The sequence below is a fragment of the Homo sapiens genome, chromosome 9 (assembly GCF_000001405.40).
Source record: "Homo sapiens chromosome 9, GRCh38.p14 Primary Assembly".
NCBI classification, from domain to species: Eukaryota; Metazoa; Chordata; class Mammalia; order Primates; family Hominidae; genus Homo; species Homo sapiens.
In genome coordinates this window covers 92,057,179-92,084,199 of record NC_000009.12, presented here as the reverse complement: position 1 = coordinate 92,084,199, position 27,021 = coordinate 92,057,179, and the positions used below count along the sequence as shown (strand labels likewise).

At 41.5% G+C, this 27,021-nt stretch overlaps 1 protein-coding gene across 9 annotated transcripts in view, besides 1 other annotated feature; it reads left to right on the top strand.

Moving 5' to 3' along the window:
• SPTLC1 (serine palmitoyltransferase long chain base subunit 1) overlaps window positions 1–27,021 on the top strand; it is an 84,267-nt gene that overhangs the window by 31,214 nt on the left and 26,032 nt on the right. For 4 of the 9 annotated variants that reach the window (NM_001281303.2, NM_006415.4, NM_001368273.1 and 1 more), the window contains 4 exons: window positions 3,237–3,330; window positions 4,112–4,184; window positions 16,102–16,234; window positions 24,892–25,021. In NM_001281303.2, the coding sequence (NP_001268232.1) occupies window positions 3,237–3,330; window positions 4,112–4,184; window positions 16,102–16,234; window positions 24,892–25,021 (430 nt within the window). Of the gene's footprint in view, window positions 1–3,236; window positions 3,331–4,111; window positions 4,185–4,633; window positions 5,140–7,188; window positions 7,403–7,449; window positions 13,857–13,897; window positions 14,077–16,101; window positions 16,235–24,891; window positions 25,022–27,021 lie in introns of those variants that run through there. The other 5 variants (NM_001368272.1, NM_178324.3, XM_024447379.2 and 2 more) reach the window with 5 other exon arrangements.
• Window positions 24,652–25,506: an enhancer, noted in NCBI's record as "NANOG hESC enhancer chr9:94820976-94821830 (GRCh37/hg19 assembly coordinates)". NCBI's record gives its function as "activates a minimal SCP1, AML or CMV promoter by ChIP-STARR-seq in naive H9 embryonic stem cells {active_cell/tissue: H9 hESC(naive)}" and the evidence as "EXISTENCE:reporter gene assay evidence [ECO:0000049][PMID:30033119]".

Here is a 27,021-nt window from a genome sequence, read left to right as displayed (position 1 = left end):
AAATTGTCCCTGTTTGCAGATGACATGATTGTATATCTAGAAAACCCCATTGTCTCAGCCCAAAATCTCCTTAAGCTGATAAGCAACTTCAGCAAAGTCTCAGGATACAAAATCAATGTACAAAAATCACAAGCATTCTTATACACCAATAACAGACAAACAGAGAGCCAAATCATGAGTGAACTCCCATTCACAATTCCTTCAAAGAGAATGAAATACCTAGGAATCCAACTTACAAGGGACATGAAGGACCCCTTCAAGGAGAACTACAAACCACTGCTCAAGGAAATAAAAGAGGATACAAACAAATGGAAGAACATTCCATGCTCATGGGTAGGAAGAATCAATATTGTGAAAATGGCCATACTTCCCCAGGTAATTTATAGATTCAATGCCATCCCCATCAAGCTACCAATGACTTTCTTCACAGAATTGGAAAAAACTACTTTAAAGTTCATATGGAACCAAAAAAGAGCCCACATCGCCAAGTCAATCCTAAGCCAAAAGAACAAAGCTGGAGGCATCATGCTACCTGACTTCAAACTATACTACAAGGCTACAGTAACCAAAACAGCATGGTACTGGTACTAAAACAGAGATATAGATCAATGGAACAGAACAGAGCCCTCAGAAATAACGCCACATATCTACAACTATCTGATCTTTGACAAACCTGAGAAAATCAAGCATTGGGGAAAGGATTCCCTATTTAATAAATGGTGCTGGGAAAACTGGCTAGCCATATGTAGAAAGCTGAAACTGGATCCCTTCCTTACACCTTATACAAAAATTAATTCAAGATGGATTAAAGACTTAAACGTTAGACCTAAAACCATAAAAACCCTAGAAGAAAACCTAGGCATTACTATTCAGGACATAGGCATGGGCAAGGACTTCATGTCTAAAACACCAAAAGTAATGGCAACAAAAGCCAAAATTGACAAATGGGATCTAATTAAACTAAAGAGCTTCTGCACAGCAAAAGAAACTACCATCAGAGTGAAGAGGCAACCTACAAAATGGGAGAAAATTTTCACAACCTACTCATCTGACAAAGGGCTAATATCCAGAATCTACAATGAACTCAAACAAATTTACAAGAAAAAAACAAACAATCCCATCAAAAAGTGGGCAAAGGACATGAACAGACACTTCTCAAAAGAAGACATGTATGCAGCCAAAAAACACATGAAAAAATGCTCACCATCACTGGCCATGAGAGAAATGCAAATCAAAACCATAATGAGATACCATCTCACACCAGTTAGAATGGCAGTCATTCAAAAGTCAGGAAACAACAGGTGCTGGAGAGGATGTGGAGAAATAGGAACACTTTTACACTGTTGGTGGGACTGTAAACTAGTTCAACCATTGTGGAAGTCAGTGTGGCGATTCCTCAGGGATCTAGAACTAGAAATACCATTTGACCCAGCCATCCCATTACTGGGTATATACCCAAATGAGTATAAATCATGCTGCTATAAAGACACATGCACACGTATGTTTATTGGGGCACTATTCACAATAGCAAAGACTTGGAACCAACCCAAATGTCCGACAATGATAGACTGGATTAAGAAAATGTGGCACATATACACCATGGAATACTATGCAGCCATAAAAAATGATGAGTTCATGTCCTTTGTAGGGACATGGATGAAATTGGAAATCATCATTCTCAGTAAACTATCGCAAGGACAAAAAACCAAACACCGCATGTTCTCACTCATAGGTGGGAATTGAACACTGAGAACACATGGACACAGGAAGGGGAACATCACACTCTGGGGACTGTTGTGGGGTGGGGGGAGGGGGAGGGATAGCATTAGGAGATATACCTAATGCTAAATGACAAGTTAATGGGTGCAGCACACCAGCATGTCACATGTATAGATATGTAACTAACCTGCACATTGTGCACATGTACCCTAAAACTTAGAGTATAATAATAATAAAATAAAATAAAATAGAGAAGCCCTTGAAGCCTTAGGGAAGAAGAAAGAAAATATTTGGAGAGCACCTCTTATGAGCCAGGCACTTTCATAATAGCAATTTCCCTGAGAGGTAGACTCTCCCCTACTTTAATGATGAAGAAACTGAGAATCACAGAGGTCAGTGATGTCCCTAAGCTTCTGAATCGTCAATAGCCATAATACAGAGGGGATCTCTCTGACAGACTCTATAACCCATGGTTTTTTCACTGAGTCTTCTTGCCTTTTTTATAAGTTAGTTCGCTTTCATGAATTTACTTCAAGTTGTCATTCTTTTCTTTTCCTGGTTTCCCAGCATCTGTGTTTTCTCAAGGATGACCAATGCTGTTAAAAGGTATCAATGAGAATAGTGTTTCTCCATTTTTTCTGGCTACAGTGCATTTTATAGAGCAACCCAGTACATGGACCAGTACAGATACATAGTCCCATCACTCACCCTGTGCCATGGTTCTGATATTTTCTTTTCCGTTCTATTTTGTTTTACTGTTTCCTCTGGTTAAAATAGGCTGATTGTGACCAACTAACTTGGTCTCACAGCCCTTTAACAGTTTGCAACCCATAATTTGAGCCCATGATTTTGAAACATGGCTCATGGCTCGAATATAGATCAGCAGAGGGCTTAACGGAAGTACCTTCAGGAGCCCATTCTCCTGTCCCAGCCGGGCTCATATCCGGCTCCAGTGTAGCTGCCACCCACATTCTCCCCGCTCCCCAGGAGTGTGAGGATTCCTCTTCAACAGCATTCCAGCGTTAACTTTAGACATTGGGAACATATCCCACTTACTCTTTAGTGGCTTCCTATACATGACATTTCTTTTTAAGCCGTTTAACTATGCAAGATCATAACTCACTCTGCCTATTCTTGCCTTTGATCTTATTTTATATTTTCTTCCTGTTTGGCTTATTCCAGATTTTTCTGAGATACTTTATTTAGCAGCTTCATTCTTAAGCGAGTTTTAAAACCAAAGCATTTAAGATTTGCCATTCATTCATCTTGGAATTCTAGCTTATTTTTCTTTTTTATTTTCATAGTACAGGTATTTTATTAAAAATAAAATTAATGGAAAAATATCTTATTTTTAATGTACCATGCTCTAATATTACTTCTTAAAAACAAGAAATCAAAGACCAGTATGCAAATAGGGTAGGATGACAACACTATGTTGTTGTGCCTACCACCAAGGTAATATGATAGCATGTAACATGAATGTGTAATTGACATGTACCACTCTATCTCTTCCCTAGCCCTCCAAGCCACAAAACTGTGGTGAATGGAAAAGAATGTATAAACTTCGCCTCATTTAATTTTCTTGGATTGTTGGATAACCCTAGGGTTAAGGTGAGTAGCACATATTGCTGAAGTGGACAGATAACATTACTGATTTAAGAAACTAGACATAAAAGACAAAGGCAGGCTGGGCGTGGTGGATCACTTCAGGTCAGGAGTTTAAGACCAGCCTGGCCAACATGGTGAAACCCCATCTCTACCAAAAAATACAAAAATTAGCAGGGCATGGTGGCACATGCCTGTAGTCCCAGCTACTTGGGAGGCTGAGGTGGGAGAATTTCTTGGGCCCAGGAGGTGGAGGTTGCAGTGAGCCAAGATGGTGCCACTGCACTCCAGCCTGGGCAACAGGGCGAGACTCTATCTCCAAAAAAAAGAAAAAAAATCATAGTATTGGAAAGCGCTATGCAAGTTTTTCCCATTACTTTTTGTCTGACAGAGTTGTGAGCGGGACCTAGACAGAGAGAGGCAAGAGTCTCTTATGTGGCTCAGTGTTAGGCAGCAACCACAGAACTGAACAGGCCAGACCTAGAGAATAGTTGGAGAAGGGTCTAGGAAATTGCTCTCTCTCCTATTGGGATTGTGGGCTAACAGGCATTTTCCAGGAAAGACTTGGCCCACAAATGCAGAAAAGTTAACCAGGTTTTGAGAATCAGGCTAGTATAACTTTTCCATATTTTAAGTCATATACTCAGTCTTTACACCTGTCTCTTCTTTATATTCTGTTAGAGTTGGAGGAGGAAGGAAGGAGCTCTGTGGGTTAAAGAATAGGAAATGTTTGTTTTGAACTCTTAAAGATAAATTATTAAAGTATAATTCTTGTACTTCAATAAAGGCAGCAGCTTTAGCATCTCTAAAGAAGTATGGCGTGGGGACTTGTGGACCCAGAGGATTTTATGGCACATTTGGTAAGTTTTTGTTGTGTTCTCTTTGAGACTACTGCTTTCAATAGTTAAGATTCAATTTTAGGCTGGGCATGGTGGCTCACACCTGTACTCCCAGCACTTTGGGGAGGCTGAGGTGGGAGGATTCCTTGAGCCCAGGAATTTGATACCAGCATGGGCAATATAGGGAGACCCTGTCTCTACAAAAAATAATAAAATTAGCCGGGCATGGTGGGCTCATCCTCGTGTGCATGTGTGGGGATTGCAGCGTGAGGAACGAGTGCAGAGCAGCAGTACTCTTTATGCAGGGGAGATGGCCTCATACTTCTGCCCACAGTCCACTGATGAGAGCGGAACCCCTGCCATGACTAGCCACGCAGGGGGCTGAGAAACAGCTCTAGGAAGAAAGTGGAGAGCAGATTGCCTGGGGTGGAGGGAGGGGGGATAAACAGTGTAGTTTTTTATCTTTCTAGAATGAAGATGAAGGATCATTGATTTCCTTGTGTATGGATAATCCGGGAACAGGCCAACTAAATATTTGATGAATGTATGATTTCAAATACAGTGAATTCCCTGGGAGTCATCAAAGAAGACCGGCATTTTATGGTTGTTTTTATTAAGTGTATATTCTTTGCTCCTGAAAATGTTATTAAATAATTGTTTAGGCCGGGCATGGTGGCTCATGCCTGTAATCCCAGCACTTTCAAAGGCTGAGGCAGGCAGATCACCTGAGGTCAGGAGTTCAAAACCAGCCTGGCCAACATGCTGAAACCTCGTCTCTACTAAAAATACAAAAATTAGCTGGGCGTGGTGGTGGATACCTGTAATCCCAGCTACGTGGGAGGCTGAGGTGGGAGAATTGCTTCAACCTGGGAGGCAGAGGTTGCAGTGAGCCGAGATCATGCCACTGCACTCCAGCCTGGGCAACAGAGCAAGACTGTCTCAAAAATAAATAAATAAATAAAATTGTTTAAATGAATTTATTGCTGGAAATAGCATTTTGGCTTATAAAATGACACAGTGTGGGGAAAGTAGAGCAAGGGAAATATCTTCCATCTTCCATCCTTGTTTCCATTTCTGGATCTTTTTGTGTTTTTTTACTTTAACAGTTAAGTTTTTTACTTTTGTGATTTTTTAATGTAAGGGAGCACCTTATGTTATCCCTAAGCTAGTTTGGTGATTACATTATTTGTCTTGGAAACAGATAAGGAGAAGTAGTGTCCAGGAATCCTACAGCTGGAAGTGATCTTTAAAATCTTTAGTTCTAACCCTAAAATTAGAAATTGGCCAGGTTTAGTGGCTCATGCCTGTAATCCTAACACTTTGGGAGGCCAAGAAGGGAAGATTGCTTGAGCCTAGGCATATGAGACTAGCCTGGGCAATGTAGTGAGACCCCGTGTTTACAAGAAATAAAAATAAACCTGGCACTAGCGTGAACCTGTAGTCCCAGCTACACAGGTGGCGGAGGCAGGAGGATCCCTTGATCCTAGGAGGTTGAGGCTGTAATGAGCCGTGTTCACACCACTGCAATTCAGCCTGGATGACAGAGTGAGACCATCTCAAAAATAGTAATAATAATAATATAAACCAAGTATCCTGACTTCCATTCTTGATGGCAAGTTTGAAGAAATAAGCTCATATCAGAGCCTCCCACTTTCCTCTAGTCTAATGCAAATGGGTTGTTTGCTTGGTTTTTGATTGGTAGGGAATTATTTTCTTGGCAGGTATTAGAAAACTAGAAAAGGCACATTTTATGGGGTTGTTGATTGTAATCTGATGAAAGCTTTCTGTGACTGCTTGCTGAGGTAAAGGAATTGTTTTTGTAGGTAGGTACGGAGGAGAGCAGCAGCTTGTTGGTATTAGATATCAGGGAGTTTTTGCTGTATTTTTCTAGGAAGTAAAGAAGTTGTTTGGGAGGGTAAAGGTGGGGATCATTGAAAGAGGTTCAGAGGTGTAGGGAGATGGGGGAGGTTGCTGAGTCAGCTGGCAGGGCAGGGACAGCTGTGTAGTAGGAGGAAGAGAAGGAAATACATAGCCAACAATCTCTGGCTAAGGAAGGATTGGAGATGGTGAGGAGGGAGTGGGTGAGGTTGATGGTTTGCTGGAGATAATTAGATGGAGGGGTAGAGGGTGGCAAGGGAATGGGAGTGAGACAAAGAGTAAGTATAAAAGAAAAGAACTTCATCAGGGTGGAAGAATTGGAGAGTACCTTGCCACAGAAGGTCATCTGTCCATTCTGAGAGAGTTAAGGGTGGCAGCTTGAGGGTGACACCACGAGATATCAGCTACAATGGTCTGGAGTAAAAGCGTGAACTGGTAGTATAGACAAAAGCAGGGCATTTAGAAGTACGTGAGAATGGTTAGTAGGGACATAAGTAGACAGAGTTTAAATACTGGGGTGACTGTGTAAAGGCCTACTGTAAATAAAAGGTATACAGGGTTATTGTTCTTTTTCAGGAATGTGGGTAAGTTTAAGGGAAGTGGGGGAGAGTACTTGCGACTTCAGGAGGAGGCAGAGGAGCTAGGCTGGTCGTCTGATGGGCACAGTTTTATCCTGGAGCGATGAACCCAGTGGGGAGGATTCTGCAGACGACTGTGGTTGGGGTACTATAGACGACCAGGTAAGGTCCTGTCCACCGAGGTTCTAGAGTTTGAGGGGTCAGGTTCTTAACAAGAACTGACCGTCCGGCTAGGGTGTCTTTATATGGCTGGGTATCTGGAGTAGGTAAAAGGAAATTGGCAGCTTAGTGGATTTCCTGTCTAGCCTGTTGAAGGACTGGAAGATAATCACCAAGAGGGGTGGTGTCTGAAATAAGGTTGGGACCCAGCAGAAAGGTGCGGCCGTGTAAGAGTTCAAATGGACTGTACCCGGTGGGTTCCCAGGGTGTGGCTCGAATTCGGAGGAGTGCAAGGGGTAGGAGAGTGGTCCAGTCTTTTTTAAGCTGGAGGGTAAGTTTAGTAAGGTGTGTTTTTAAAAGGTCCTTGGCTTTTTCTACTTTTCCAGAGAACTGAGGGTGATATGGGGCATGAAGATTCCATTGAATACCGAGGGCTTGGGAAACTGCTTGAGTGATTTGGCTGATGAAGACCAGCCCATTATCAGACTGTATGGAAGTAGGGAGACCAAACCGGGGAATTATGTCTGTTAGAAGAAGGAAATAACTGCAGTGGCCTTTTCAGCCTTCAGACCCCGTGGGAAAAGCCTCAACCCATCTGATGAAGGTGTCGACCCAAACCAGGAGGTATTTGAGTTTCCAGACACGGGGCATAAGAGTAGAGTCAATTTGCCAATCTTGAGCAGGGATAAATTGTCGTGCTTGATGCATAAGGAAAGGAGGAGGTTTAAGAAAGCCTTGATGGGGTAGTAGAGTGGCATTATAGCCCATTGAGAGGTGATTGTTTTGAGGATGGATTTCCAGGCTGGAAAAGAAATGAGAGGTTCTAAAAGGTGGGTTAAAGATTTATATCCTACATGGAAGTGGTCATCAAAGGAGGAGAGGATAGAGTAAGCTTGAGAGGCAGGGAGAAGGAGCTTTCCATGATCTAAAAACCAGTTGCCTTGAGTGGGAAGTGACTGGTAGTTTAAGGTTTCAGAAGGAGAGTAATAGGAGTGATAGATGAGAAGGAGAAATATTGGCCACTGGGAGCAGATACTGGGGAGTTTGCTGTTTCTTTGGCTGTTTTATTGGCATAGGTGTTTCCTTGGGCAATGGGATCAGAGGTTTTTTGGTGTCCTTTGCAGTGGATTACTCTGGCTTTGGCTGGAAGGAGGGCAGCTTTAAGGAGGGCTTTATTAAGGGGGCATTGATAATAGAGGATCCTTGTGTAGTGAGAAAACCTCTTTCTGCCCAGTTGACAGGGTGGCGGTGGAGGATGTGAAGGGCGTATTTAGAGTCAATTAGATATTAACATGCAGTCCTTTGCCAAGAGTTAGGGCATGAGTTAGTGCTATTAATTCAGCTTGTTGAGAGGTTGTAAATGGGGAGAGTGCAGCAGTTTCAGTGATAGATGAGTGAGACACAATGGCCTATCCAGCTTTTCCTGGTGTTAATCAACTGGTTTTTGAAGAACTGCCATCAATAAACCAAGTGTGGTCTGGGTCAGGGACAGGAAAAAGGGAAATATGGGGAAAAGGAGAGGAGGCTATGTGGATTAAGGAAATACAGTTGTGTGGATTAGGATTTGTAGTGGGTAGTAAGTGAGAGGCCGGGTTGAAGTCCTGTCCAAAGGCAATGGTCCCCATGAGATTTTCAATAAAGAGTGAATAGAGCTGGAGGAGGTGGGGAGCCGAGAGTATGTTTTATATGTGAAGAGGAAACTAAGTCTTGGAGGTTGTGAGTGCTATAAAAGGTGAGTGGGGCATAGCCTGTGATTTTGAGAGACTCTAAGAGTATAAGGGCTGTGGCTGCTGTGGCATGCAGGCATGACGGCCAGCCCAGGACTGTAAGATTAAGCTGTTTGAATACAAAGGCTACTGGTCACAGGCCTGGTTCCTGAGTAAGAATTCCTACAGCGCAGCCCTGCGTTTTTGCTGTGTGGAGAGGAAGGAGGGTTGGGAGGAGTCGGGAAGCGCTTGAGTAGGGGTTGCCTCTAGGGCCTTTTTTAGAGTAAAAGGAGGGGCGAGGGAAGGATTTAGGATCTGTGGGTTCAGCTAAGTTTCCTTTTGTGAGTTTATAGAGTGGTTTGGTTAGGATGGCAAAACCTGGTATCCAAAGGCAGAAGTATCCAACAACGTCTAAGAAGGAGAGGAGTAGTTGTTTGGTGGTGGGGATTGGAATTTGGAGATTAGCTGAATACGGTCTGCTGGAAGTGCACACCTATGTTGGTGGAGGATTATACCAAGATAAGTAGAAATTTGAGCTTTGGAGGGGGATACTCTGTACCCCTTGGAGTAGAGGTGTTGAAGAAGCAGGATAGTGTCTTGCTGGGAGGATTGGTAAGAGGGGCTGCAAAGAAGAAGGTCATCCACATATTGAATGAGATGGGAAACAAATGGACGAAAAGAAAGCAGGTCACGGGAGAGGGCCTGGCTAAAGTAGTGTGGGCTGTCTCTGAAACCTTAGGGCAGGACGGTCCAGGTGAGTTGTTGGGACTGGTGGGTGTCAGGGTCAGTCCAAGTAAAGGCAAAAAGGGGCTGGGAAGAGGGATGTAAGGGGATGGTAAAGAAGGCATCTTTGAGGTCAATAACAGAATAATGAGTTGTGGAAGGCGGTATTGAGGATAGGAGAGTATAAGGGTTAGGCATGACAGGATGAATGGGGAGGACAATCTGATTGATGAAACGAAGGTCTTGGACTAGCCTGTAGGATTTATCTGGTTTTTGAATAGGTAGGATGGGAGAGTTGTAAGGGGAGTTGGTAGGGACTAAGAGGCCATGCTGTAGTAGACAGGTAATAACAGGCTTTAGGCCCCTTAAAGTCTGTTGTGGGATGGGGTATTGGCATTGAGCAGGATAAGGGTGGCCATGTTTCAATGGGATGATAAGGGGTGAATGATCAGTTGCAGGCGAAGGAGTGGAGGTATCCCATACTTTAGGGTTAAGGTGGGGAGATGAAAGGAGAGGTTGCGAGGGAGGTTTGGAATTGGATAAAAGGGTAGCTCTGAGATGTGGCTGTAGTCCAGGAATAGTCAGGGAGGAGGATAATTTAGTTAAAATATCTTGGTCTAATAAGGGGACTGGGCAGGTGGGGATAACTAGGAAGGAGCGCATAAAGGAGTGTTGCCTGATTTGGTACCAGAGTTGGGGAGTTTTAAGGGGTTTAGAAGCTTGGCCGTCAATATGCACAACAGTTGTGGGGGCAAGGGAAACAGGCCCTTGAAAAGAAGGTAACGTGGAGTGGGTAGCCCCCGTATCGATTAAGAAGGGGACGGACTTACCCTCCACTGTAAGAGTTACCCGAAGCTTGGCGTCTGTGATGGTCCAGGGGGCCTCCGAGATATTCGGGCAACGTCAGTCTTCAGCCGCCAAGCCGAGGAGATCTGGGAAGGAGTCGGTCATTTCGGGTTTGTACTCCAGGAGCTCCAGGATTGGTGATGAGAGTCAGACAGTCTGACTTCCAGTGAGGGCCCACACAGGGGCATGGCTTAGAAGGAATCCCGGGCCGTGGGCATTCCTTGGCCCAGTGGCCAGGTTTTTGACATTTGAAGCAAGGTCCCAGAGGGGCAGTTAAACGCTGCGGTTTGTACGCCTTGAAGTTTTTGCAGGTAGGCGGTGCTGCTGGGGTTTGTTTTAAGGTGGAGGCAAGCATTTGTCATTCTGAAAGGCGCGCTGCCGCCTGGCAGCCTCTTCCCTATTATTGAACACCTTGAAGGCAGGGTTGATTAATTCCTGTTATAGGGTTTGAGGGCCAGACTCTAATTTTTGAAGTTTCTTTCTAATATTAGGAGCTGACTGGGTAATAAAATGCATGTTAAGAATAAGGCGGCCTTCTGTCCCTTCAGGGTTTGGTGCTGTATATCGCCTGAGGGTGGCAGCTAGATGGGCCATAAACTGAGCTGGGTTTTCACCTTTGTTCTCAGTGGTCTCCTTTAGTTTGTCATAATTCACGGCTTTATATGCAGCTTTCTGAAGCCCTTGAACTAAACAAGAGATCATGTAGTCCTGCCTGGCTATGCCTTGGGCCCCTGCCTGGTAGGTCCTTTGGGGCCTTCACGGGTACTGCCCTAGTGCCTGGCCTTGGAGGCCAGGCTCAAGGCGCCAGCAGTCATCAGCATAAGATTGAGCTAGGGTCCAAAGTGAAGATGACATTTAAGTCATTCCAAGTGGGATTATAGGACTGTGTTAAGTATTGGAATTCTTGTATATATTTGAGTAGGGTCTGACGGAAAAGAGCCTGAATGCTGACTGATTTGGGAAAGGTCAGATATAGAGAAAGGGATGTGAACCTGGACTTTTCCTTCGGCTCCTGCCACCTCTCAAAGGGGAAATTGCTGGGCAGGGGCATGGGGGTCGGCTTCAGGGTCAAATTGTAAGCCAGAGCAGGTGTGAGGAGGGATGGTAATGGGAGGGACGTAAAGGGGTGGCTTGTGGGTAGAACTCGGTTCTGAGGGGGAATTAGGGCCAGGTTCGGATAGGTGGGTTGGGGGGAGAAAGATTGAAGGGGTTAACAGGTAAAGAGGAGTCAGCATCCCCAGTGGAAGAAGGAGAGGTAGATGGAAGGGAGATAAGGAAAATTTGGGATGGACCACATTGGGAGCAGAGACTAGGGAGAGATCATAGTAAAAAATGCCTGGATGTAGGGTACCTCAGACCATTTGCCCATTTTGCAACCGAAGTTGTCTAAGTCCCGCAAAATAGAGAAATTGAAAGTGCTGTTTTCTGTCCGCTGAGAGCCATTGTCTAATTTATATTGGGGCCAGGCCGTGTTACAGAAAAAAAAAATTAGACGTTTAGGCTTTAGATTGGGTGAAAGCTAAGAGGTTTGAGGTTTTTGAGGACAGAAGCCAGTGGGGAAGATGGAGGGTGGGAGGTTGCCCATGTTAGAACTGGGAAAGTTTGAGGGGAAAGAAAGAGACAAGGAAAAGAGCAACCACTAGCATCCTCAGTGGGCATCCCCAATGGAGGTCCCGGGTTGTGTGGCTGGCGAATGGCCAAGGCTGGCATCCCTGGCATTCACCAAACACTGAGGGAAGACTGTCTTCCCAAGAAGAGTCCGTGACCAACGTTGGATTTTGGAAACATGGATAAGAGGAAGGTTCCTTGTCTCAATTTTGAGGAGAGAAAAAGAGGGAGAGAGATGAGGAGAGACCGAGGCAGCTTACCCGATCCGTAGACAGAGGTGGGAGTGTTCGCGGGGGCTGGTCTGAGGTCCTGAGGTCGAGGGAAGTCTCTTTGATGGAAGAGCGTGGGGAGGATAGGGGAGAGGTCTCCCAGAGAGAGTTCCCCTATCCCGGGCTTTCGGCACCGAATGTTATGCATGCGTCCAATTGAAGAGACAACCTGAACAGGCTAAGTGTGAGCAACAAGGCTGTTTATTCACTCGCGTGCAAGTGAGCTAAGTATGAAAAGGGAGTCAGCAGAGGGTGGTGGGATTGGAGATGGTTTTATAGGTTAGGGGTAGGCAATGGAAAGTTACAGTTAGGGGCTGGATTTTGCAGGTAGGGGAAGAATGTCACAAGGTACATTATCACAAGGTTACAGAGCACAGTGTCATGTGTCATGAGGTTGATTGATCAGTTAGGGTAGAGCCTGTTACAATGGTAGAATGCCCCAAGGCTGGCTAATCAGCTAAGACAGGTACTAGCCGTTTTTCTTCTTTTGTGGTTTTCCTGTTGTCCCAGATTTTCTGGCTGCAGGACACCTTCTGGATGTGTACGTGTGGGTCACAGGGGTCACGATGGCTTGACCATGGCGCAGCTTGGTCAGGGGACCTTACAATTTGGTCATAAAATTCCTAGATCTGCCACTTCCTCTTACCAGTCATGGGATCATGGTTTTCTCAGGTGTAAGTGGGAACAATCATTGCTTGCATGGCTTTAGAACACTTTGCTAAGGATCACATAAGATACCGCATGTGAAAACATGAAAAACATTTGGCTCTGTATGTTCCAGTGAGTACCTAAGGGCTATCACTTATACTCTTAAGAAGAAAAATTGTGCATGTCTCTAGGGATATTTTTGTGTGTGTGTTGTTGTGGTTGAGACGGAGTTTCACTCTTGTTGCCCAAGCTGGAGTGCGATGGCGTGATCTTGGCTCACTGCAACCTCCGCCTCCTGGGTTCAGGCGATTCTCCTGCCTCAGCCTCCCAGGTAGCTGGGATTACAGGCATGCGCCACCATGCCCAACTAATTTTTTTTTTTTTTTTTTTTTTTAGTAGAGATAGGGTTTCTCCGTTTTGGTCAGGCTGGTCCCAAACTCCTGACCTCAGGTGATCCTCCTGCCTCGGCCTCCCGAAGTGCTGGGATTACAGGTGTGAGCCGCCACACCTGGCCTCTAGGGATTTTTTTTTTTTTAAGGACAGTATGTATGCAAAAATATGAAGGCCTTAAGAGAAAATGTAGTTTGTTTCTAAACGTCCTAAAGTCAGCTATTTTATGGTGTTCTCTCTGGAAAACAACCAGGAAGGCCGTAATCTCTCCTCCTTGTAAGTGAGAAGCTGAACAAGTGGCTCTTATTGGAAGATAGTCTTAACAATTCAGAATTCACATAGCTTTATTAGAAGATTGCCTAAGTGTGACCAGGTTTTTGCTTTTAAAATAAAACCTTTTCTTTTATTCTACAAGTATTAATGTAATTAAACAAACTCTTAAATAGCATATTGCTTGTTCCATGCCAGGCAGTGTTCTAAGTGTTTTATCAGCATTAACTTGTGCAGTCATCCTACTAACCCTTGAGGAAGGTAGGACTATCCCCCCTATTTGACAGAGGAAGGCACCAAGGCTGCCCAGGGCTGAACCCCCAGACCTAACTACAATCTGAGCTCTGTGATGACCGAGATAGTGAGGCCTCCTGTCCCTGAGGTTCTGGTGAGGGAGCCAGACAGGCAGATAAGCAAGTGCAAGAAAGTGCTGAGGGCTGTGAGGTGTGCGGAGGCATTCTAGGACACCTCCCTCTATGGTCACTTCTCTGCCGTGTTTAATACTAACAGTGAATTGTAGAATATAGTACTTTAGTTTTATTCCATGCAAATCTACAGCTCCAGTTAGTGAAATGGATCATACACACAGAAGATATGGACATCAAAAGTTGAAGAAAAGTGAGTGCCCTTGTAGTTTTCCTGCTTGCTGCCTTCTCCTCCCTTAGGTTGAGAGTTTCTTCGTTGCACAAAGGAGCATCAAGAGAAACAAGTTCTTCAGTTACCCATATTTACCTGTCACAAAACCTGCTTTGCAAGGCTGACATCAGCTAAAACCCAGTGTCTTCTGATAGAAGGAAAAGACTAGTCTTTTTGAACTTTTGGGACTATGCTAGAACCAGTAAGTCATTGATTTATTGTTGAGAGATTCTTCTTCCCACTTATGGCAACTGTATATAAACAGTTACGAGTATACCTAATGATGGGAAGATTTGTAACATGCTGATTTTCATCAACTGGGTAACTCACTCTAAAGTCCTGAAACAGGGTTATACTCAGTTTTACATTCTCATCATTCATTGATGAAAGGAGTCATTTAGAGCTAAGAAGTCTACAGAATGATTTAAAATCCCTTTTGTGGTTAGCAAAAATAATTTGTATACATAGCATGTTTTTCTTTTTGAAATGGAGATACCAAATGAAAGCAAACCACTGTTGCCTGAGTTGTCCTTCTGGCTGAACTGTGAAGGTTTGTGGCAGATACTTTCAATTAGAAGCACCATTATACTTTGAAGGAGGCCTCCTACCTGGGAACGTGAGAGGTGGCAAAGTGATGGCGCTCAGAGAACAGTAATGAGGATGAGAAGGAAGACATACCCAAGAGTAACCCATGCTCAGCTACTTGGCTGTTTTCCTCTTTCTTGCTAGATTTTGCCTGAAACCTTTTCTGATAGCATCTCTCCTAGAGGGCGGCTGTCAGATACAGGGAATCACGGCCTTGGATTTCATGTGATCGTAGTGTCAGAGGTCTTATACTCGAAGATCACCTGGGATACGTTCTTCTAAACTCTGTGTGTTGTTGTAAAGTCCTACGTTTATTTAATGTTGGTGTAATGAAAAGTGTCCTTTTTATAAAATAACTATAACCAATTGGTAATGGAAATCAAATGATATTGACTGTGTTAACGTACAAATAGGAAGAAGCATGCCTCATATTTTATCACTATTTGATAGGAATGGAATTAATAGTTCATTTTAACAGTTTTGTAACGTTCTTTAGGAAGTCTGTAAATATACTGCCTCCTGCCAGGCCGTCAGCCCTCTCTGCTGCCCCTAGCTCAGGAATGCCCAGACCGCCTGCCATTGCCTGTGCTTGGGTTCTCATCAGTAGACACATCACGGCTCACTCATCCTGGGTCTCAAAATCCAACTCTGTGGCCTCTGATTTCCCTCCTTTCTCCCATAGCGCTCTAAGACTGGAGGGGCCTGGCTTCTTCGAGCGCTCTCCACACAGGGCCTGTGGTGAAACTCTGTTATCTAGTCCTCCAGGGTTGGGTCCTGCCATAGTTAAAAGAGCTAAGGGAATTTTTTAAAATCCCTTTCCCTCCTTGATAATGTCTCATTTTAAGGCTGTTTTAAAGTTTTAAGATTCTAAGCTGGCCAGTGGCCTATTTATTCTAAGCATCACTGGTCCTCCGTCCGAGGGCATGAAGCCTCATGGTTCAGTCTGAGAGGTAAAAGGCTGTAAGGAGCCATGATTTAAGAGGAAAATAAAACATGTCAGTCTAATAATTATAATTTATCCTCACTATTATGTCAACATCCTCCTTACAGTGCATCTATAAAAGGACTATATTTCCTTTTGTACTATAAATTTGAATTCTTCATTACACTTACAAGAAATTCAGACAGAATCCCAGCCCCAGAAAGTGATGGGAGGTGCCACTACTAAATGCTGACACAGATTGTTAGAGGAGTGGTTACTGGAGTTCTAGTAAGTGTCACCTTCTTGATGCAAAGTATACAGGGTTCTTTTTGCTAAAATGCAAACAGACATTAATAAGTTAACATCAAACATTGGTGAGACCTCAATGGTTTTGGTCAAGGACAGTTAATGCAGGGAAACTTGGTAGGCCTTGAAGTCTTACAGTAGAGTGATATCAAAGCATAACCAGAAGTTGGAACTGCCCCAGTAACACATTTTGCAGATAGATGCGTAGCTGATTTAGTTCATGTATTTTAGAAGTTGTATGGGCCTAGAATTATTTTAATAGATCTTGTATAATCTATCATTTAAAAACAATTCCATTTTGGCCATAAGGTGAAAGTATTGATAATTATACTGCTTGTGTTCTTTTATTTGTTCTTTAGTAGAGAAAAAGAATTATAAGGCAGTTTAACCATTTAACTTTTTTAACTGAAATAGATGTTCATTTGGATTTGGAAGACCGCCTGGCAAAATTTATGAAGACAGAAGAAGCCATTATATACTCATATGGATTTGCCACCATAGCCAGTGCTATTCCTGCTTACTCTAAAAGAGGGGACATTGTTTTTGTGTAAGTAAACTTTACGTAGTTTTCTAATAGCAGTTCCTTTGAAATAATACTGACTGTCTTAGAGAAATACTTCATTAGAAGTTATCTGCATAAAATAATGCTGCTTTTTGTTTTTCAAGAAATAGTCACCTCACCAAAGGTTTCAAAATTTGTGAAACCTTCACTTAAAAGATGCTTAACGGTGTCTATAGTCATTTATCTGCCATGGTAATTATTTATTGATGTCCAGATGAGGACAGCTATCTGCCTTCTTTGTGCAGCTCTGTGGCTGTGTGGTATCCTAGTCTGTGGTCACCACCTCACGTTGTCAGTCAGACTGCCCGGCAAAGTCTCTCCATGTCTCATCACCCATTCACCCCGTCACCTGGTCTCAGCTGATCTTGCTTCCTACCTTATTAAGGATAGAGGAGCCGTGACTTGGACACTTCTTTGACTACCCACAAGTGGATCTTCACACTCGCGTGCCTGTGCTGAATGCATGCTACCGAGGTTTACTGTGAAGGGCAGGGTACAGCCAAGCAAGGGCTGGCAGGCCCCAGGCAGCTGGTTAAACCAGTCAGAAGCATCTGCTGCCCCAAGCCAAGCCCTGTCGTCCTATGAGTGGACTAAAATTTGGTCTCAAATTGACTTTAATTTCCTCTTCTCTGTTTTTTTTTTTTTTGTGTGTGAGATGGAGTCTCACTTTGTCACCACGGCTGGAGTGCAATGGCGCAATCTTGGCTCACTGCAACCTCCGCCTCCCAAGTTCAAGCAATTCTCCTGCCTCAGTCTCCTGAGTAGCTGGGATTACAGGCATGCGCCACCATGCCTGGCTAATTTTTTGTATTTTCAGTAGAGACAGGGTTTTACCGTGTTGGCCAGGCTGGTCTCAAACTCCTGACCTCAGGTGATCCACCTGCCTCGGCCTCCCAAAGTGCTAGGATTACAGGCGTGAGCCACCGCACCTGGCCTTTTTTTATTTTTATTTTTTAATTTTTTTTATTTTGAGATGGAGTTTCACTCTTGTCGCCCAGGCTGAAGTGCAGTGGAGTGATCTTGGCTCACAGCAAGCTCCGCCTCCCGGGTTCAAGCAATTCTCTTACCTCAGCCTCTCAAGTAGCTAGGACCACAGGCACCCACCACCAAACCTAGCTAATTTTTTGTATTTTTAGTAGAGATGGGGTTTCACCATGTTGGCCAGGCTGGTCTTGAACTCCTGGGATTACAGGCGTGAGCCACTGTGCCTGGCCTCCTCTTTTCCTTTTTAACATCACAGCCAGAGTAATCTTTTTAAAATGTAAATCCTATTTTGTCACATTTTATTTAATACAATTTAGAGCTTCTATTGTTCCTAAAATAAAGACCCAAGTCCTTTGTATGATCTTGTGAGCTCTGCATCACTTTTTCAGGCTGATTTTGTACCATTTTCCCTGAGGTGTTTAAGCTGTAGCCTTGCCAGCCCTGTATGCTAGTGTCCTCTCACCTTGGGGCCCACGCACATGCTCTTTCTGACTAGAACACTGTTCCTCCTCCCTTCTCCTACTTAACCTTCTCATCCTTCACATACGTCACCTCTGCAGGGAGGCCGTCCCACACCTCAGAGCAGGTCAAGACCCCTGCTGCATGTGGACAAAATCTTACAGCCAGAGAGAATTTATTGTTCTTGTTTATCCATGCTCACACGAGCACTCAAACTGCCTGTCAAGGTCACCCTGCTTCTCAAGCCTCCCTCCCACACACAGACACACACACTCTCTCACACGCACCCTGCTCTGCTCATTTGCTTCATACTTACTGTACTTTTCTTTTGTAGAGCTTGTAACAGTTTATAATTTTATATCTGTGTGGTTATTTGCTTCTGTTTCTTGCTGGGAGCCCATTACTTAGAATAGTATTTATCATTTAGTAATGGTCAATAAACAGTAGTTCAGTAAATGAATGAAAGGAAGCTGGAGCTCAGAATAGGGGCCAGATAACTGTGTTGCAGAGCCTGGCATCCCTCAAGCCCTGCACTGGCCTCTTGCTTACCACTCACCGTTGGAACGCTTGTGCAGCGACAGAACCTTCTATCATAATTACTACAGAGCTGACTCTACCTGGGGCTTCTGCAGTACATGTGACCCATTCCTCACTATAGCCCTACAGCAGTCTAGGAGCACTACAGCAAATGTCCTGGGTCTAAGTAGTATACTAATGTGACCATAAAAATGAATATTTTTATTAATTTTTGGCAAATAGTTTAAAAAATAATGTGAAAGACTCATCACTAACTGAAGCGCCATTGACTTAAACAGTGTTTCTAGGTTTTTAGTAAAAGCAGAGTTACAGACAGCTGCAGTGTCATTCAGTGTCACTTTATACACAAGCACCCCACTATAAATTCTTTTAAAGTCCAGAAAAAGTTGATGGTTACTGGTGAACTCCTATGCTTCCTTTGATAAATACTACATTGTGTTTTTTTTTTTAACTGCTAGGAAACATAGGCTAAATTCACTTCCATGTGTTATGCCCAGTGTCTTAAAATTTCCATTTCCAGTGAGTTGCTAACCTGTTTATTCTGCTACGTAATTTTAAATACTCTACCTGAAATGTGTTTGAATGTAGGAGTGCTAGAGGTAAACATGGTGTTTGGTAAATTGGTTTTGATAAATTTGTCAGGCATAGACACTGTGTGATGCTTCATTTCCTTCCTTTCAGTAAACAGTGTTAATGCTTTGCCAATAGTGGGGCTCAGCACAGTGGTCATTCATGGACTTAAGTCTGTCCTATCACTCCACTAAGTATGTGTTCATGCTGCTTCACAGATCTTTTTAAAATTAAACTTTTTACATTCAGATAATTGTAGATTCAAAAGCACTTGTAAGAAATAATATAGAAATCCTTTGTACTTTTTACTAAGTCTCTTCCAGTGAGGACCTCTTGCAAAACGAACAGTTTCACAGCCAGGATATTGACTTTGTCATTGTCAAGATGCAGAACATTTCTGTCGCCACAGGGATCCTTCATGTTGCCACATCCACATTCCTCCCATCTGCCCACTCCTTAACTCCTGGCAACCACTAATCTGTTCTGTTTGTTAATTTTGTTATTTTAAGAATTTTATACAAATGGAATCATCCAGTAGGCAACACTTTGGGGTTGGCTTTTTTCATTTAGCGTAATTCTCTGATGGTTCATCCAAGTTGTTGCTTGTATCCAGAGTTGGTTCCTTTTGATTGATGAGTATTACTCCATGGCATGAAGGTACCACTGTTATTGAAGTTACCTTTTAAAGACATCTGAGTTGTTGCCAGCTTTGTGCTGTTATAAAAAAAAAGCTGCTCTAAACATTCATGTACATTCATGCTATGTGAGCATAAGTTTTTATTTCTGTGGAATACATGCCAAGGAATGCAGTTGCTATGTTTATAGTATTGCATAGTTTTTAAAGGAACTCCTAAACTATTTTCCAAAGTGTCTATACCATTTTATGTTCCCATCAGCAAGATATGAATGATCAAGGTTCTCCACATCTTCAGAAGCATTTGGTGTTATCACTACTTTTTTAGCCAGTCTGATAGGTGTATAGAAAAATTTATATTTTTCTGATGGCTAATGATGTTGAACATCCATTCATGTGCATATTTGCCATCTCTTCAGTGAAATGTCTTTTCATGTCCATTTTCTAGTTGTATGATTTGTTTTTATACTAATGAGTTTTGAGAGTTCTTTATACATTCTAGATCATAGTTCTTTATCAGATATGTGGTTTGCAAATACAAATTTTGATGTCCACGTATTCATTGCTAAAATATAGAAATGAAGTGGATTTTTTGTGTGCTGAGCTTGTATCCTGCAACCTTGCCAAACTCACTTAATTAGCTCTAGGAACTGTTTTTCTAGATTGCTTAGGATTTTCCATGTAGACAGTCGTCATGTCATCTGTAAATAGTTTTATTTATTTTCTAATCTACTTACTTTTTATTCCCTTTTATTGCCTTATTGCACTGGCAAGAACTTCCAGGACTGTGTTAAAAGTAGTAAGAGAAGACATTCTTGCCCTATTCCTGATATTAGAAAGCGTTTACTCTTTCACCAATAAGTATAATGTTACGTGCAGATTTCTTACAGATGCTCTTTATTACATTCACTTTCCTGCACCTCATCTTTTTTTTCTGAGCATTTTCATTGCAAATCAATGTGAATTTGGTTGGTCAACTACTTTTTCTGTATTGGTTGATATGATCATGTGATTTTTCTTTTTTAGTCTCTTAATGTGGTGGATAACATTGATTTATTTTCAAATATTGAACCAGCCTTGCATACCTGAAATAAATACCACTTGGTTATGGGGTATAATTTTTTTTTTATAAAAAGCTAAATTCGATTTGCCAGTCTTTTGTTAAGGATTTTGAATCTGTGTTCATGAGGGAGATTGTCCTATAATACACTTTTTTTGATACTTACTTTGGTTTTGGTAGCAGAATAACACTTCACAGAATCAATTGGGAAGCGTTCTATCTTCTATTTTGTGGAGCTATTTGTATAGAATTACTTTTAATTATTTAATTGTTTGGTAGAATTCTCCCATGAAACCATCTGGGCCTGGAGAGATTTCTTTTTTGCAAGTATCTTAATTCTGAATTCAGTTTCCTTAGTAGTTATCAGGCTATTCAAATTATCTGTCATATTGAGTGAATTGAGGTAGTTTGTGTTTTTCAAGGAATTGGTCCATTTCTTAAAAGTTGTCAGATGTACATGTGTGGTGCTGTTCATGGTATTCCCGTATTATTCTGATGTCTGCAGAGTCCACAGTTATATACCTTGTTTCACTCCTGGTATTGGTAATTTGTGCCTTTTCTCCTGTTTTCTTTGTCAGTCTTGTTAGAGGTCTGTCAATTTTATTGATCTTTTGAAAGAATCAGCTCTTTGTTTCATTGTTTTTCTCTATTGTATTTTTATTGTCAGTTCCATTGATTGATTTCTCCTATTATTTCCTGCCTTCTGCTGACGTTTGGTTTATTTTGTTCTTTTTCTTGATTTGGAGGTAAGAGCTTAAATTATTAATTTGAAACTTTTTCTCTTTTCTTGAATGTTCATTTAGTGCAATGAATTGCCCTCTCAACACTACTTTAGTTGTGTCTCACAAATTTTGATGTGTTGTGTTTTCATTTGTATTTAGTTCATTTTTGTTTTGTTTTAAGAAATAGGGTGTCATTATTTTGCTCTGGTTGGCCTTGAACTCCTGGGCTCAATGGATTCTTTTGCTTCAGCCTCCTGGGTAGTTGGGACTACAAAAACACACCACTATGCCCAGCTTACACTTTCCCTTTGACCTATGGATTATTTAGAAGTGTATTGTTTACTTTTCAGGTGTTTGGGGACTTTAAATTTGTTGTAGTTTGGTTTATGGCTAATACGGTAGTCTATTTTGGAATATCTTATATGGGCACTTAAAAAATGTGTATTCTGCTGCTGTTTGGTGGAGTGTTCTATAAATGTCAAGTCTTTTTGGTTGATGGTGTTTTTGGGTTCTTCTGTCTTGGTGATTTTCTGTCTAGTTCTTCTATCAGTTGTTGAAGGATAATGAAGTTTCCAACTGTAATTGTGGGTTTGTCTATTTCTTTCAGTTTTATCAGTGGTTGCATCTCAAATTTAGCTTTTTTGTTTAGTTCATATTTAGGATTACTAAGTTTTCTTGATGAATTGACCCTTTTAGCGTTTCATAATGTTCTTCTCTGTCTCTGATAATTTTCCACTTTTTGTGTATGTGCTGCCAAAGCAAACACTCTGATAATTTTCTTTCTTCCAAAGTTTACTTTGTCAGATACCCTTTTTATTATTTTTTATATTACATAGTTGTGTGTATAAATCTGTATTTTTTACTACCTATATTATTATATTTGTAGTGAGTTTCTTACAGACAGCATATAGTTGGGTCATGTTATTTAATTTATTCTACCTGCCTGTCTTTAAATCATGTATTTGTACATTTACATTTAATGTAATTATTGACATAGTAGAGTTTAAGTCTGTTAAAACAAAGTCTGCCATTTTGCTTTTTGTTTCTTGTTTGTTCACTCTACTTTGTGTTTCTCTATTTTCTCTTTTCTGCCTTTCTGTGGGCTAATTGAACATGTTTTTAGAATTTACTTTTTCTTTGTATAGCTTTTTTTAGTCATTACTCTGAGTGTTACATTACACATATATTATAATAGACTACTGGTGTCATTGTACCAATTCAAGTGTAGAAACTTTTACCTTCCTTTACATTCCTTTATTTGCCTCATTTACATTATAATTGTTTTAAATATTTCCTGTACATACAGTGAGAACCACATCAGTGTTTTAATTTTTGCTTTAACTGTCCAAAATAATTTAGAAGACTCCAGAGGAGAAAAAAAGCCTAGTGTATTTGCCCATATTTTTTACTTACTGTGCTCCTTCCTCCTTCCTGATAATCTAACAGTATTCTTTTATGGCTTTTTTCCTATTTAGAAGGCTTCCTTTGGCCATTTCTTTAGGGTAGGTCTGCTAGTGACAAATATTCTTCATTTTTCTTAACTGAGAATGTCTTGATTTCACCTTCATTCCTAAAGGATATTTTTGCTGGTTATAGGATTCTGGGTTGACAGTTATTTTCTTTCGGCATTAGAAACACATTGTGATGCTTTTTTTCTGGTGTCTGGTTTCTGATGAAAAATCTCCCGTCATTCAAATTGTTTTTCTCTATGTATAAGGTGTCATTTTTCTCTGGCTGCTTTCAAGATTTTTTTTGTCATTTGTTTTCAGAAGTCATCTATGATGTGCCTTGGCAACTATTTGTTTGCATTAGTCCGTATGGATTTTGCTCAGCTTCTTTAATCTGTAGATTTAAACCACTTGACAAATTTGGGAAGTTTTTAGCCATTATTTATTTGAATACTTTTTTAGCTCCCCACCTCTTTCTCTTCTTCTGGAATTCCAATGACACAAATGTTACGTCTTTTATTATAATCCCATGGGTCCCTGAGACTCTGTTCATTTCTTTCTAGTCTATTTTCTTCCTGTTGTGCTCAGTGAATGATTTCTTTTTTCTTTGTTTTTTTTTTTTTTGAGACAGAGTCTCGCTCTGTCACCCAGGCTGGAATGCAGTGGCGCCATCTTGACTCACTGCAAGCTCCGCCTCTCGGGTTCACACCATTCTCCTGCCTCAGCCTCCCGAGTAACCCGGACTACAGGCACCCACCACCACGCCAAGCTAATTTTTTTTTTTTTTTTTTTTAAGTAGAGATGGGGTTTCACCATGTTAGCCAGGATGGTCTCGATCTCCTGACCTCGTGATCCACCCGCCTTGGCCTCCCAAAGTGCTGGGATTACAGGCATGGGCCACTGCGCCCGGCTGTCAGTGAATAATTTCTATTGCTTGTCTCAGTTCACTGATCCTTCCTCTGCCTCCATTCTGCTGCTGAGCCCATCCACTAAGCTTCTTATTTTAGTAATTTAGTTTTTCAGTTCTGATATCTCTGTAGGACTCTTCTTTGTATCTTCCATTTCATCACTGAGGCTTTTTATTATTTCATTTGCTTCAGGTGTCTTCATGGTGGCTCATTAAAATATTTTTATCGTGGCTGCTCTAAAATTGTTGTAAGATAATCTTGATATCTCTGTCATCTCACTATTGGCATTTGTTGTTTCATTCTACTTGATATCTTCTGGTTCTTGATATAAGGGATATTTGATGGAAACCTAGACACTTTCATATTGTGCCGCTGTAGTCCATGTCTAGTTTAAGCCATCTCTTTTATTTGGCTTTCTCTGACATGATTCCAACAGGGGAAGGGGCTAGGGGACTGCTGCCTCATACTGCCAGGAGGAGGAACAATTCAGGGGCCCTACTCGGCCTCCATTGACATCGTTGGGGGTTTCTTTGTTGCTGCTGGGTGATGCTAATAGTCCTGACTCTCCACTCGCCCTCCTGTGACACTGCCCAGGAGGAGATGGGGAGGGTGCCCACTACTCCCAAGTGCAGGTGGAAGTTAGGGCTCTCCATGTGTTCTTTGCTGACACCACAGTGGGGGTGGAGGGGGTCCACTTGTTACCAACTGATAGGAATAAAAGGCTCAGCTTCCTACTTGGCCTTCCCTGACAACACCCTAGGAGGTGTGTCGCCTTGTTACAGCCTCTCGAGGGTCAAAGTCTAAGTTCCCTTCTCAGCCTTTGCTGACATAGATGGGGCTGGGTACCCCTCATTTTTTTCTGTGGTGTTTGGCTACAGTAGAATAGTCATTGTCTAAAAGTTTTCTGTCTAGCTGGGCTGCCAGTATTACTTCTCAGGGCAAAATAATGGCAGAGTAATGTGTCAGTCATATCAGAGATGCCACTGATGGTGAGGCACACCAGTATTTTATGTTTCTTAGAAAGAGAAAAGTATGTGAATAAACTGATATGTCATCCATAGTAAGATGCATGCTAATTTCAGAGAGATTAATATATAGTGAGAGTGTGCTTCTTGGAATAGATTAAATATGGTAGTTATGTGAAAAGGACTCATGGATGAAGAGCAAACAATGATGTATAAATATTCAAACATGTTTTATTTATTTGCTATGCTCATGTTAACAATCAGTGATTGGTCAGCTTACAAAAACAAGCATTCCTTTTTGAGAATGTTGACAAGACCCTTTAAACCCAATTTGGTGGATCTCTTTTCCTTGCAGAGATAGAGCTGCCTGCTTTGCTATTCAGAAAGGATTACAGGCATCCCGTAGTGACATTAAGTTATTTAAGCATAATGACATGGCTGACCTCGAGCGACTACTAAAAGAACAAGAGATCGAAGATCAAAAGGTATGATTCTTTTGAAGAAAATTATACAGTTCTTTTGTACTTTCTAACCAGCTAAATTATATATGAAATGGTAATTTGTCATGAAAACTTGCCTGTGGATCACATTTGGATATTAAGGTGTTCCTGCTTATTAAATGTACTTGGTGTTGGAGAGCCAAGTCTGATTGTAATTGCCTTGTCATTGCCGTAATTACATATAGCAAATTGGAGGGAGGTAATCCAAGCAGCTTTCTGAGAGATCAAGAGAGGCTGAAAAACAGCATGTGCTTAGTGAGGCAGGGAGATGTCTACTCATAGCTGGGCATAATGACACCAAAACTTACTAGGCCTTTAATGACATGTACCTAGTGAATTCAGAATAGGCTTATTCATACCAGAATAAATCATGTATCAATTACATGAGGAAAGAATGGCAGCAAGCTTATTATATTAATATATGAACAAAGTGAAGCCCTTTCTCCCCACCCCACCTGTATCCTGCTCTGAGCAGCTACTGCCTGTGGGAAATGACTGCCCCTAACATGGTCTCCTTCCAGCTTGCAGCCCTGTTTTCAGCTGTTTCCTCTCGAGAACCTAACATAACCCAGGTGATGGTGGTTTGGAAGTAGCTCCTTGGTGTTCTGATTAGGGTGAAACAGAGGAAGTGTGTTCAGAGCATCATTGTTAAAATTACAATTTATTTTCCCCTGATGACATGGGTAAGTAAAGTAGCTCAGGTCTGTGGTTCTGAGCAGGACACCATGATGTGTGTCTTCATCTCAGACACAGTTTCAAGTGGACTTTGCCAGTGCAACTCAGTCATAACTAGAATAAATGATAAAAATGCTCATCACATTTCTTAATTTTGTGTATTTTGTGTTAATTTTCAATTTTCCAAATATTTGCATTATTCATTTAGGATTCTGTCATCTTTGTTTAGGTGTCAGCCTAAGTGCATCACTTCATGAATATACACATTCTCATGATGAATATGCATGATCTTGCCATTTTATACTAACTCTGCTCTAGGCTAACATTTCACATTTACACAATTTAGAAAAATCTATAGGCAAAATCTGAAAACAGCCCATTCCACTGATTAATTTCTTTTACAAAGTATAAAAAGATGTTTCTTATGATGATGCAGTAATAGAAAGCTAGTCTGTTTTCAGTACTAGAACTGCAGTCTGCTGCCATTTGTTTTGCCTAGTATTGTATAAATTTGGAAAACATCAGATTCAAGTTTTGTATGTGCTCTTTTTCTACAAGATCTGTAAGCCATAGAACTTTTTTTTAAATGAGCAACAAGAAGTAAAATTAAATATCTTGAAACTTATTTCTACTTTATAATTTTTACTTTTTTACTAATTTATATTTTTCTTGCTGAGAGCAGGCTTTCTAAGTAACTCTACATTTTGGTTTTTAGAAATATTCATTTTCAGTTTCATTTTCACATAAATAATCTGGTCGTTAACACTTTGAATGTTTTCTTTGTCCATTTTCCAAGCGCCATGGTTCATGAATTGTTTTTTATCCCCTTTCCTACAGGGTTCCCATAATGGTCAGTGGATATGAACAGTAGTTCATAAAAGGAATACACATAACTATGAACAAGTGAAAAATAGCCTGGCCTCACTAATAATTAAGGAGATTAGGCTAGGAGTTTTGCCTGTTAAATTAGGGCATGTTTTTAATAGTAATAGTCAGTGCTAACACAGATGTGGTGAGACAAAGAGTGTTCCTATGACACTGGAAGGAGTTTAAATTGGCACTGCCTTTCTGGAAGGCAAATGGGCAGATACATTCCAGGATCCAAGTAATTCCATGCCCTTTGACCCATTCCTGTGGTGCTGTCTTTAAAAACTTACGAGAAATGATGTCACATTTTGAAGGATATTCATATTGTGATATGAAAAAGCAAATGAAGGAAACAACTAAATCCAACATTAGGGAAATAAGTAGTTTATGGTATACTCACAGGCAGAACGTCTCCATTAAAATCATGTAATCCGAAATAATTT